General features: G+C 40.5%; 2 protein-coding genes and 1 long non-coding RNA gene across 12 annotated transcripts in view; 2 read left to right on the forward strand and 1 right to left on the reverse strand.

The window, feature by feature from the left end:
• FAM177A1 (family with sequence similarity 177 member A1) overlaps positions 1-4,182 on the forward strand; it is a 38,477-nt gene extending 34,295 nt beyond the window's left edge. For 2 of the 3 annotated variants that reach the window (NM_173607.5, NM_001289022.3), the window contains one exon: positions 1,821-4,177. In NM_173607.5, coding sequence (NP_775878.2) covers positions 1,821-2,027 — 207 coding nt within the window. In that variant the 3' untranslated portion in view covers positions 2,028-4,177. Of the gene's footprint in view, positions 1-1,820 lie in introns of all 3 variants that reach the window. The other variant, NM_001079519.1, reaches the window with a different exon arrangement.
• LOC101927178 (uncharacterized) overlaps positions 1,880-13,680 on the forward strand; it is a 32,050-nt gene continuing 20,249 nt past the window's right edge. Inside the window, exon 1 of the long non-coding RNA NR_110415.1 lies at positions 1,880-2,358. This is a non-coding gene — a long non-coding RNA (uncharacterized LOC101927178). The remainder of the gene's footprint in view (positions 2,359-13,680) is intronic.
• The window catches only part of PPP2R3C (protein phosphatase 2 regulatory subunit B''gamma), a 36,827-nt gene continuing 29,417 nt past the window's right edge, over positions 6,271-13,680 (reverse strand). For 7 of the 8 annotated variants that reach the window (NR_130972.2, NM_001305156.2, XM_005267782.5 and 4 more), the window contains 3 exons: positions 11,869-12,006; positions 8,750-8,809; positions 6,271-6,577 (listed from right to left, as the gene is read on the reverse strand). Coding sequence is in view for 7 of the 8 variants with exons in the window: in NM_001305156.2 (NP_001292085.1) it covers positions 6,389-6,577; positions 8,750-8,809; positions 11,869-12,006 (387 nt within the window). In the remaining variant the exon portion in view is untranslated. Of the gene's footprint in view, positions 6,578-8,749; positions 8,810-11,868; positions 12,007-13,680 lie in introns of those variants that run through there. The other variant, XM_047431517.1, reaches the window with a different exon arrangement.

The following is a 13,680-nucleotide window of genomic DNA, read 5'->3' on the forward strand; positions in this document are numbered from 1 at the left end:
AACTGGAATTTTCCTATGATCTGTGTGCAAAACTAAGCTAGATTTCATTGTCTTAGTGCTATGTGAGATGCCTTATATACATTATTTAATCTTCACATGCCTCTCTTTGGATTATCATTCTAATTCTAAGATGAAGAAACAAGATACTTAGAGCACATGGACTGGATATAGGAAAAGTGGAGTGGGTTTGGCACAGATAAAAATTTAAGTACAAGAAATGTGTATGTGCCAGGTGTTAATGCACAAAAATTTGAGGGCAGTTTAAAAGTAGTGAGGTCTTAAGGTGAGAGTGAAGTGAATTTTGTCTTAAAAAATAAAAGCCTTTAGTGCTTAAGAGCATGGGCTCAAGAACCAAAGGGCTTGAATTCAAAATCCGTTCTACCACTTAAAACTTTGTAACCTTGGACAGAACACTTAACCCCTCTATAAGCCTCAATCTCCTCATCTTTGTAATGAGGAGAATTGCAGCATCCATGCTCGGGGGCTGCTCTACAGATTAAATACATTAATATATAAAATGTTTAGAACAGCACCTAGTGAGCACAACAAATATTGGCATCTGCTATTCTTCAAGCAAATAGAGGGCAGCAATTCAGGTAAAGCTAGAATGTAGAGGCATGAAGGTACATTGTTATGGTTGGGGAAATGGCAAAAATATAATAGTTTATTGTCACTGGAGCATAAGGTACAATGTGGGAGTGACTGGACATGAGCCTGGAAAGGTCAGCTGACTTAATATTTGTCATATGGTTTCAAACCTGTTTTATGAACAAATAAGTATTTCTTAACACTGTAAGCCTTGCTTAGAGCCTCATTACCTCATCTGGGCTATTATACTAGCCTCCTAAATGGTCTCTATTCTCAAGCAAGCCCCAGAGTAATCTTCTGGGGTTACTCACTGTGTACTGACTACCCGTTCTGCAGGGTCCAATACAAATGCCACCTACTCAATGAATTTAGTAGTTCTGCAACTAGAAATTATTTACCCTTTCAAAATCTGTACATCTGTCATAATACTGTTTTTACATGTCTTAACTTCCCTACTAAGTTGTAAACTTCTTGAGGGTAGGTGCTGCCTTATCTATGTATTTGATGCTTATGGGAAAACTAACTATGCTATATATCATGTAGTAAATGAACCAACCTATTCAACCGAATAGACTGACACCCTACAATTGAAGTGATACAGTTGAAGCTAACTTTTTATTTATTTAGCTTAGACTTAATCTGAAAAAAATAAAGTCCTTGTCAAAGTTAATTCAGGTCTCATCTACGTGATGTAGTGCTGGACCCTGTTTTAAAAAGTAACCTCTTTTGGGCTGAGCGCGGTGGCTCATGCCTGTAATCCCAACACTTTGGGAGGCCGAGGTGGGTGGATCACTTGTGGTCAGGAGTTCGAGACCAGCCTGGCCAACATGGTGAAACCCTGTCTTTACTAAAAATACAAAAATTAGCTGGGCGTGGTGGCAGGTGCTTGTAGTCCCAGCTACTCAGGAGGCTGAGGCAGGAGAATTGCTTGAGCCTGGGAGATGGAGGTTGCAGTGAGCCACTGCACTCCAGCCTGGGTGACAGAGCAATACTCTTTCTCAAAAAAAACAAACAACAAGAAAAAACTACTTTCCTTAAAATGTTTTACAGTGGTTATTTCAATTAGAGAGCAGGAGAAGGGAAAGTATGTCTTAATTAGACCAAACTGATTTGAACATGACACTTTTTTTTTTTTTTTTTTTTAAACATAAGCTGACAGTGGGGAAAACAGCACTATATACCTTTTGGACTTTCGTATTTCAACTATTCTTGATATTGCTCCTTTTTTTTAGGAAGAAGAAGAAGAAGAAGAAAACAGGATGTCTGAAGAAGCAGAAAAACAATATCAACAGAATAAATTGCAGACTGATTCCATTGTTCAGACAGATCAACCAGAGACAGTGATATCCAGCTCATTTGTGAATGTCAATTTTGAAATGGAGGGAGACAGTGAAGTAATTATGGAAAGCAAGCAAAATCCAGTCTCTGTCCCACCATAAAATGAAATGACTATCAAGCTTCAAACTCTTAAGTTTTTTTTTTTTAATACAAAAACTTTCACATTCTTTATTCAGTGGGACTTAATACAATTATTTATATTTTAAATTATTAAAGTATCTGGAAAGGGAAAATGTTTTCTTCATTTTTAGGATCTATCTAGCAAAAGCCAGATCTGAAATTCAGATATTTGTACTGTTTTTACTGTGTATAGAAATTAGTGCTTTGGTTTTAAAATGATCTTTTAAAAAAGTTAAGGACATCCTAGAGCCTTAATAGTTAAGAAGAGTTAAATTATCAAGCCTATTTGTGCATTTGCTTTTTTTGAAAAAGGTAAGTTGCTGATTAAGTCTAATTGGAATTGATAATTCCATAGTCTTAGATTAAAATGAGGATATTTTCTCCTAGATTTTCTCATGTTATGCCATGCATTTATATATCTAACCATTAATTTCACACTAAGGATGCTTCACCATATAATAAAAGGAGCAAGATGGAAGCACTTTGAATTTTCTTTCATTGAGAATAACTGTTTTATGTAAGAATCTGTATTTATAACACCAGATATTAAGATAGGCTTCCATTTTTTAATGCAAGCCACTTACTTAATCTTGTATTCTTTTTCAGGACTCAAATAACTAGCTTTGAACATAATATTAAAACACTACTTATAGAATAGATTTATTAATGTTAATACCTAGTGAATATCCATGTGGCATCCTGGTTATGTTATCGGTTCAGCGTTAATCCTATAGAAAAGTGGTTTGGAGGGGATTGGGGGATAGTGGGACAGGTATAGATTTAATCCATCAGGAGCAATTAGATATTGTATAAGGTGCAATGATAGCCTAATGAAATTACCCGTCATTCATCATTTAGAAGTAGCAACAGTGAAGACTGGACAGTTTACTTGAATCTGGTTGGCCACTCCTCTACCTACTTGGTTATTTGTAAACCTTACAAATGTATATATTGTGAAGCTAATTTTGAAAATATTCCTAAATATGGCCAGGTACGGTGCTCACACCTGTAATCCCAGCACTTTGGGAGGCTGAAGTGGGCAGATTACTTGAGGTCAGGAGTTTGAGACCAGCCTGGCCAACGTAGTGAAACCCCGTCTCTACAAAAATACAAAAATTAGCCAGGCGTGGTGGTGCACGTCTGTAATCCCAGCTGCTCGGGAGGCTGAGGCAGGAGAATCACTTGAACCAGGGAGGTGGAGGTTGCAGTGAGCCAAGATTGCACCACTGCACTCCAGCCTGGGCGACAGAGTGAGACTCCATCTTGGGGGGAAAAAAGTATATATATATACACACACACAGACACACACACACACACATATATCTCTAAATGTGTGTATAGAACCTTTTATCAGTATAACATTGATTTATAATTAAATGTGGGTGAGGAAGAATGTGTGGAGTGTTTCAGAAATTTTGATCTTAAAAGCCTTTTCAGAAACTCAAAGCTTTCAGAAATTAATAGTTATATTAATAGCCTTCTAAACAGCATTAAGTTTTCAATTTTAATATATCTATATAAAATATAGTGTCAAAGAAAGTAACATCAATATAGTGGGTCTGTAATGGAAATCTGTCAATGAACATGAACTGAGTTCTTCAACTACAGGTTGAAGGATAATTAAACTTTTCATTAGGAGTGTTCAGCTACATGGATTCATGGAATGGTGGTTCATAGTAAGTGATGGTAATCTTTTTATTCATGGGTGTAAACCCTTTATAACTTAGTGCTTAAAATATTAATCTTTTGATTATATAATGTCCCATGAATTATAGTTTACCAATAGTTCTAAAACATGCTAACCTGACCTTTTCCTTCTAATTTGTTTTTAACTTCATTCGAGATAGTACCTCTCACTCACAGATATTTATTTGGTTATCAAGTGAAGATAGGTGTGTCTAAAAGTGATCTTCTGAATCCTGTCTCCCTAGAGGTACTAGTATCTAGAGTTTACCCAGAAAATTTTATGATTGTAACAAAAGGAAGTAGTGACTTATGAAGGTTTTGTTTCTTGAATTTTACTTTTGCTACTTGTCCAATAGTGGCTAGTTTATGTTTATCAATATAGTTATTCACTGTGCCTTAAGTTTATACTTTGTTTATGCAAACTATAAAATTTCCCATAAATGTATTCAATGGTTTGTCTTACTTTAAGCCTCTTTCACTCACTTTTTCCTATCTCCTTTTCAGTCCTTTTAAGAATTCCAGTTCCAGCTGGGCACGGTGGCCCACGCCTGTAGTCCCAGCACTTTGGGAGGCCAAGGTGGGCGGATCACTAGGTCAGGAGTCCGAGACCAACCTGGCCAACATGGTGAATTAGTAGAGATGGATTTCTACTAAAAATACAAAAATTAGCCGGGCATGGTAGCAGGTGCTTGTAATCCTAGCTGCTCGGGAGGCTGAGGCAGGAGAGTCACTTGAGCCTGGGAGGCGGAGGTTGCAGTGAATGGAGTTTGCACCATTGTACTCCAGCCTGGGCGACACAGCAAGACTCGTCTCCAAAAAAAAAAAAAAAAACAGAATTCCAGTTCCTTCTGGATCATAGTTCATATTTACCTTCTTCTAATCTTTCAGCATCTCATAAAAACTAAATGTAATGTATAACTGAAGTCTTTATCCTGAATTAACATAAATTCTTTAACAAAAATCCTTAACAAAATGAAGTTTGTTTTTTGGTTTGGGACAGGGTCTTACTGTGTTGCCCAGGCTGGAGTGCAATAGTGCAATCATGGCTCACTCCAGCCTCGACCTCCTGGGCTTAAGCAGTCCTTCCCTGTCAGCCTCCTAAGGATCTGGGACTACAGGCTCACACCACCATGCCCAGCTAATGTTTTTTATTTATTTTTTGTAGAGACTTGGTTTTGCCATGTTGTCCGGGCTTGGAATTAAGTTTTGTAAAATGTAACTCTGGTATTGGTTAATAAAACTAGACAATTTTTTTTTTTTTTTTTTTGAGATGATGGAGTCTCACTCTGTTGCCAGGCTGGAGTGCAGTGGCTCAATCTTGGCTCACTGCAAGCTCCGCCTCCCGGGTTCACGCCATTCTCCTGCCTCAGCCTCCTGAGTAGCTGGGACTACAGGCACCCTCCACCACGCCCAGCTAATTTTTTGTATTTTTAGTAGAGACGGGGTTTCACTGTGTTAGCCAGGATGGTCTCAATCTCCTGAACTCGTGATCCGCCCACCTCAGCCTCCCAAAGTGCTGGGATTACAGGCGTAAGCCACCGTGCCCAGCCAACAAATTTTTTATACCAATGATTTTCATGAAAGTAAAATACTAGTTTGAATACATTTTATTAAAACATCCAATTAAAAGAAAGAACAAGGCTGGGCACGTGGCTCACGTATCACTGTGAATCATGGTGGCTATAGTCCCAGCACTTTGGGAGGCCGAGGCAGGCGGATCACCTGAGGTCAGGAGTTCGAGACCAGCCTGGCCAACATGGCAAGACCCCCATCTCTACTAAAAATACAAAAATTAGCCAGGCATGGTGGTGCACACCTGAAGTCCCAGCTGCTTAGGAGGCTGAGGCAGGAGAATCGCTTGAAGCTAGGAGGTGGAGGCTGCAGTGAGCAGAGATCATGCCACTGCACTCCAGCCTGGGCAACAGACGGAGACTGTCTCAAGAGAAAAAAAAAAAAAACCGCAAAACAAAAAGGCTGGGCGTGGTGCCTCACACCTGTAATCCCAGTACTTTGGGAGGCCGAGGCGGGCAGATGACTTGAGGTCAGGAGTTTGAGACCAGCCTGGCCAACATGGTGAAACCCTGTCTCTGCTAAAATACAAAAATTAGCCAGGTGTGTTGGCAGGCGCCTATAATCCCAGCTACTCAGGAGGCCGAGGCAGGAGAATCACTTGACCCCCCCTAAAAAAAAATCCTAATCCTAACCCAGAAATAAAATGGCTCTACTCATGAATGGGAAAGTTTGTCATCTTTGAGATTTTATATATATAGACACACACACACACACATGTTGTGTGTATATATATATGCACTGTCAGTCAAATATTCACATTCTAAATGACTGTCAGAAATATTCCATGGAAACTTCATCTCTGAAGATTATACAGATTTAAACTGAACATCATCTACCTACAGCAAATCACACTTCCCATCTTTGAACTAAAAGGAACCAGAACTTACCCCACCTCCTAACAAGCAATATTTGGTCCTATTGCTTCTAAACTATTGCAACCAAAATTCCAGTAACCAAAACATTTGCTGTGTTCTCTAGGCATATCAAGTGTTTTATTTAGACCATTTCTGAGGATTTTGCTTTAAAGGCTTTACATGCAGCATTCAAGTATCTCATAATATAAGACAGTCTAGTCTTTCAGAGATCATGTATCATCAAGGTCTGCAGAGTTTTCACTGTCATTTGCAACAAGAGCCTCTCTGTTCTCGTAAGTCCAGAAGCCATTCAAATCGATTAGAATGGTGGTTACTGTGTCTCCTTGATTACTGTTGATTAAATCCTGAAGAGAGATTTTCAAAGGATCCTTTGGTTTTACCATGTCAAAGATTTCATCCTGCAAGAGAAAAAAAAATACAATGAAATTTGATCCACTTAATTTCTATCACACATAGTGATCCAAAATTCAGGGCTGTTTGCATCCACTGAAGTACAGAGGAATAAAATTGAGGGCTGCCACTTGGGCTTATGTTAATTTTTTGTTCTACTTTTTTTCTTTTCCATTTAACAGGCAGTTTCCTTTTCTCTACCTACAACCACAAAATTTTATTGGATAACTCCTTAGCTATGTGATAGCTATCCTTCGTTTTATAGATGAAGAAACCAAGGCTCAGTGCCTAATCTAGCTACATAGGTAATTAGTGGCAGAACTATCTAATGCAGTGTTCAGGGACTGCACGTTAACTAGTTTCTTATATATTTTTCTGTTGCCTTCTAATTGGTGAAACAAAGTTTTGTCTGTAGTTTTTGTTTTTGTTGTTTTGTTTTGTTTTTGAGATGGAGTCTCACTCTGTCATCCAGGCTGGAGTGCAGTAGTGCGATCTTGGCTTACTGCAACCTCCGCCTCCTGGGTTCAAGCGATTCTTCTGCCTCAGCCTCCCGAGTAGGTGGGACTACAGGTGCACGCCACCACACCCAGCTAATTTTTGTATTTTTAGTAGAGATGGGGGTTTCACCATATTGGCCAGGCTGGTCTCAAACTCCTGATGTTAAGTAATCTGCCTGCTTTGGCCTCCCAAATTGCTGGAATTATAGGTGTGAGCCACTGCGCCCAGCCTTTTTTTTTTTTTTTTGAGACAGAGTTTCACCCTTGTTGCCCAGGCTGGAGTGCAATGGTGTGATCTCGGCTCACCGCAACCTCTGCCTCCTGGGTTCAAGCGATTCTCCTGCCTCAGCCTTCCAAGTAGCTGGGATTACAGGCGTGTGCCACCACATCTGGCCAATTTTTGTATTTTCAGTAGAGACGGGGTTTCTCCATATTGGTCAGGCTGGTCTTGAACTCCCGACCTCAGGTGATCCGCCTGCCTTGGCCTCCCAAAGTGCTGGGATTACAGGCGTGAGCCACCGTGCCCAGCCCCTTCTTTTTTTGTGTGTGTGAGATGGAGTGTCCCTCTGTCCCAGGCTGGAGTGCAGTAGTGCGATCTTGGCTCGCTGCAAACTTTGCCTCCCAGGTTCAAGCCATTCTCCTGTCTTGACCTCCCAAATAGCTGGGATTACAGCCGTGTACCACCACACCCGGCTAACAAGGGTTTGGTTTAATTTTTTTTTGCTAACCGTTCAACTCAATTAAACATCTAAATGTTTCAGAGATAGTGACAAAGCTTCATTTCCAATGTTGATGTCAACATTTTGTTAGGATGGGAGAGGGGAGTTTTCTCTGGATATGCATTAGACATCCAAAAAGAAGCTAAATTCTGCTAAAACTTACTGGAACATATAGAAGACCTCCTTCTATATTATGAAGTGTACAACAGATATTTACAGGGAATTAGTACATGTTTTCTAATCTTTTTGTAGTAAAATAACTACAAAATTTGTAGTAAAATAAAATTTGTAGCAAAATTACTAAAAGTGAACAGGCTGTTTGAGGTAGCATACTAAAACAGTTTCCAAGGTAAAAAATCAGTTTACAGTTGAACAGACTGCCGTAGGATATAGACTGTACTGACTGTCTTAATTTTCTTTTTTTTCTTTTGAGATGGAGTTTCACTCTTGTTGTCCAGGCTGGAGTGCAGTGGCACAATCTCAGCTCACTGCAACCTCCACCTCCTGGGCTCCAACGATTCTCCTGCCTCAGCCTCCCGAGTAGCCGGGATTACATGCATGCGCCACCATGCCCAGCTAATTTTTGTATTTTTAGTAGAGACGGGGTTTCACCATGTTGACCAGGCTGGTCTTGAACTCCTGACCTCGGATGATCCGCCCGCCTCAGCCTCCCAACGTGCTGGGATTACAAGCATGAGCCACTGAGCCCGGCCCCCTGACTGTCTTAATTAAAATGAATGAATGCTTCCAATGAAAACATAATGATGACAATACTAAAATTATAAACTACATAAATAGTCCAAATGTGGTCTCAGTTCGTAATGATTTAAATATCAGTTCAGAACAAAAAGCAAACACTTGATTCAAATAGTACTTCATTAGTTGCTTTCATATAAAATTTCATGTAATACAAATGACTATCTCATAATTATCTGGTAATACGTAAATTAAAGGAAAAGATAACCTTGACATCTTGAAATGAAACAGGATCTTGTCCATGGATTTTCATTAGTTCCTGTATGGCCTGTATTTAATAGAAATAAATCTGTAAATAAAAAATGAAATACACAACATCCCTCTTTTGCCCTACAACCCCTTTCTACTTATACTTCCTTTCCTATCAGGCCACAAACCTCATCATTCTCTCTCTTGCCAATCTTCTTAGCTTTCTTGACCTTATTCCACATCAGTGAGCAAAACCTAAATTCTCGATTAGTGTATTGACCTTTTTAGACCTATATCTTAACTATTGAGAACTTCAGGAAAAAAAATAAAAAGATTACGGATTGCTGCTTCTACATAGGAATGTTCTCCAACCTCAAACAGGCCCTCAGCATGGCCTCACAATTATTCTGTTTGATCTGCTCCTCTCATTTTCCATGAATGTTATTCCTGCCTTCACTATTCTCTTAAGATCCCCAATCTACTGTCTCCCTTCCTACCCTACACTTTGCTTTCTACGTAATACAAGAAATGGAGGTAGACCTCCCAAAACTCTTCCTTTTCATAAACTTTAACAAAAAAATGAAGAAACTGCTGTCATCCAGTAGGAATACAAAATACTTCAGGTGAGCATTATTCACTGGAAATGTGAAGTTTCAAATTCTTGGTGAACAGTCAACTTTGTTCCCGATGCCTACTCTGTTACCACTAATAATCAGAGTATCCATAAAGGAATCCCTTTGAAGTAGATAAGAATCTGAGTACATGCTCTGTTAATATAGTAATAGATGGTATGATCTAGAGTGAATCATCCAGACCCAGCTTTATCATTAGGATAGTGATGTCCAAACGCTCTGTGAACAGCCCAGGATTATAGGGCTCAGCATTGGACACTTTTTACCTTATCCCATATAACCAAGCCTAAATAAGCTTTGACAAAATGCCTATATGAAATATTTTTAAAGTAGTTTTAAAACAATTTAATATTCTAAGAGTAGAAAATACTGTAAAGAAATCTTTATGAAAAAGAGCAGTGTTTAATTTCAAATACATTTATTTTCTTAAGACTGGATTTTTACCTAATAGGTTTGTCTAAAGTAGGGGCATTCCTATGATGGGTTGGTATTTATTTTCTCAGATGAGCCGCTGATATAAGCCCATATAGCATTCAGTTTTTTTAATTTTTATTTTTAGAGATAGGGTCTTACTCTGTCATTCAGGCCGTAGTGCAGTGGCAAATCATGGATCACTGCAGCCTTGACCTCCCGGACTCTAGTGATCTTCCCACCTTAGCCTCTCAAGTAGCTGGGACTGCAGGCATGTGCCACCACACCCAGCTAATTTTTAATTTTTTTGTAGAGATGGAGTCTCCCTATGTTGCCCAGGCTGGTTTCCCAACTCCTGGGCTCAAGCAACCCTCCTTCCCTGGCCTCCCAACGTGCTGGGATTAGAAGCATGAGCGACCACGCCTGGCCTAAAAATTATTTTCATGGTTTATTTCAACATAGCAAATAAAAGTATCTACAACTGGCTGGGCACAGCCTCCCCAGTAACCGGGACCACAGGCATGTGACCACTACACCCAGCTAATTTTTTAAATTTTTTGTAGAAGTTGGGGTTTCCCTGTGTTGCCCAGGCTGGTCTCAAACTCCTGTGCTCAAGTGAACCTCCTGCCTCAGCTTCCCTAAGTGCTAGGATTACAGGTGTGAGCCACCATGCCTGGGGTATGATTTTTTAATTTTTTTTTTTCTTTTTGAGACTCAGTCTCGCTCTGTTACCCAGGCTGCAGTGCAGTGGCGCAATCTCGGCTCACTGCAAGCTCTGCCTCCTGGGTTCATGCCATTCTCCTGCCTCAGCCTCCCGAGTAGCTGGGACTATAGGCGCCCGCCACCACGCCCGGCTGATTTTTTTGCATTTTTAGTAGAGATGGGTTTCACCATGTTAGTGAGGATGGTTTTGATCTCCTGACCTTGCGATCCGCCCACCCTGGCCTCCCAAAGTGCTGGGATTACAGGCATGAGCCACCGCAACCCGGCCGATTTTTAAATTTAATAAAAGCATTTACATAACAGATTTCAGAAAGAAATCAAGTTTTTAGTTTTCTTTCCTACTTAAAAAAATTGAGTGAAAGCTGATTTGACTAGATGTAAAATAAAAATATGTAAATATACGTCAGGGGCTGTACTACCATTGGAAATACAAATATGTGATAAATTCTATACTTGTGATGAAAAACTTGTAAGATGCTAAGCAGTTCAGAAAAGGTAGCTCCTTTCCACAGAAATTTTTATAGACTTTGGTAGTTGTAGTTTTTTTTTTTTTTTTTTTTTTGAGACCGAGTGTTGCTTTGCTGCCCAAGCTAGAATGCAGTGACGCGATTTCAGCTCACTGCAACCTCCGCCTCCTGGGTTCAAGTGATTCTCCTGCCTCAGCCTCCCAAGTAGCTGGGATTACAGGCATGTGGACCCAGTTATTGGGGAGGCTGAGTGGGAAGACTGCCTGAGCCCAGGAGTTGGAGGTTGCGGCGAGCTATGATCATGCCACTGCAGCCTGGGCGACAGAGCCAGACCCTTTCTCAAAAAAAGAAAAAAATAAATAAAAATCACGAGTTAGGTAAAATGGTTACTAAATATTTAATTTAAACCAAATGATATATCTTTAATTTGCTCTTCTTTTTCTAATTTCCTAAAGTAGATGCTGATTTTAGATCTTTAACATTTTCCAGTATATGCATTCAATACTATAAATTTCCCTCTAGCCACTGCTTTTGCTGCATCTCACAATTTTTTTTTTTTTTTTTTTTTTGAGACGGAGTCTCGCTCTGTCGCCCAGGCTGGAGTGCAGTGGCACGATCTCGGCTCACTGCAAACTCTGCCTCCCGGGTTCACGCCATTCTCCTGCCTCAGCCTCCCAAATAGCTGGTACTACAGGCACCCACCACCACACCTGGCTAATTTTTTGTATTTTTAGTAGAGACGGGGTTTCACCATGTTAGCCAGGATGGTCTCTATCTCCTGACCTTGTGATCCACCTGCCTCGGCCTCCCAAAGTGCTGGGATTACAGGCGTGAGCCACTGCACCGGCAGCAACAAAATGATATATCTTAAGGAACAATGACTCACTTATGCAAATGAGACTTACCCTAAAGAAATAATTAAGTGAAAAGACATTCAGGTATCCTTTGTTCTCAATATCAAGCAGTTTGAAAATATATTGTAGAGCTGCAGGTTCCTTTCTGTTTTCTAATGCAAGGACAAAGTCCAAGTAGGTCTTATAGTCCTACAGAACAGAAAATAATGTTCATTAGAGGCCTTAGTTGAAATTAACTTTCAAGTGAATATCTTATGATTTGAAGCTATTTTGCAATCAAAGGTGGCAAATTTAATTTTTTCCCTAAGTTATGATATGAGAAATCCATTTATATACTTAATATTGGTTTCTAGGGAATTTTTTTCGAGACAGAGTTTCACTCTCATTGCCCAGGCTGGAGTTGCAATGGCACAATCTTGGCTCACCACAACCTCCACCTCCCGGGTTCAAGCAATTCTCCTGCCTCAGCCTCCGGAGTAGCTGGGATTACAGGCATGTGCCACCATGCCTGGCTAATTCTGTATTTTTAGTAGAGATGGGGTTTCTCCATGTTGGTCAAGCTGGTCTCGAACTCCCGACCTCAGGTGATCCGCCCGCCTCAGCCTCCCAAAGTGCTGGGATTATAGGTGTGAGCCACCCTGCCCAGCCATAGGAATTCTATATATAATCTACACAGGACAGTTTTGAGGACATAGTTCTTTTTTATTTATTTATTTTTTTGAGACGGAGTCTTGCTCTATTGCCCAGGCTGGAGTGCAGTGGTGCAATCTCAGCTCACTGAAACCTCTGCCTCCCAGGTTCAAGCGATTCTCCTGTCTCAGCCTCCCAAGTAGCTGGGAATACAGGTGCACACCACTATGCCCAGCTAATTTTTATATTTTTAGTAGAGACAGGATTTTCCATGTTACCCAAGCTGGTCTCAAACTCCTGACCTCAAGTGACCCGCCTGCCCCGGCCTCCCAAAGTGCTGGGATTATAGGCATGCACCACTGTGCCCAGCCCTAGTTCATTTTTTTATGAGAGATTTGCTGTGTTAAACTATAATTTTCTTTCATTATTCTTGTTTTTGAGACAGGGTCTCACTTTATCAACCAGGCTGGAGTGCAGTGGTACGATCATAGTTCACTGCAACCTTGATCTCCCAGGCTCAAGCAATCTTCCCACTACAGCCTCCGAGGCAGCTGAGACTACAGGTACACGCCATCACACTTGGCTAATTTTTTAAATTCTTTGTAGAGATGGGGTTTTCCTGTATTACCCATGCTAGTCTCAAACTCCTGGGCTCAAGCAATCATCTGGCCTCGGCCTCCCAAAGTGCTGGGACTAGAGGGATGAACTACTGCATCCTGCTTCAAACTTTTGAAACAGATGACTAAGCTATAAACTTATAACTTCATTTCAGTGCAGTTATTTTGAAAAACAAATTTTTTATCTGGAATGAACAGAACAGTATAATTTTTTTTTTGAGATGGAGTTTCGCTCTTGTTGCCCAGGCTGGAGTGCAATGGCGCGATCCTGGCTCACCACAACCTCTGCCTCCCAGGTTCAAGTCATTCTCCTGCCTCAGCCTCCTGAGTATCTGGGATTACAGGCATGCACCACCACGCCTGGCTAATTTTGTATTTTTAGTAGAGAAGCGGTTTCTCCAAGTTGGTCAGGCTGGTCTCAAAACTCCCAACCTCAGGTGATCCACCCACCTCGGCCTCCCAAAATGCTAGGATTACAGGTGTGAGCCACCGTGCCCAGTCTCAGAACAGTATATTTAAATTGCTATTTTAAAATATTGTTTAAAATTTTTAATTCAGATTTCCAATAAGAAGCTGTCTTGAGATTGCCAGACATTTTACAGTGAGCTGACACTGC

This window comes from Homo sapiens, chromosome 14 (genome assembly GCF_000001405.40).
Source record: "Homo sapiens chromosome 14, GRCh38.p14 Primary Assembly".
Taxonomy (NCBI): Eukaryota; Metazoa; Chordata; class Mammalia; order Primates; family Hominidae; genus Homo; species Homo sapiens.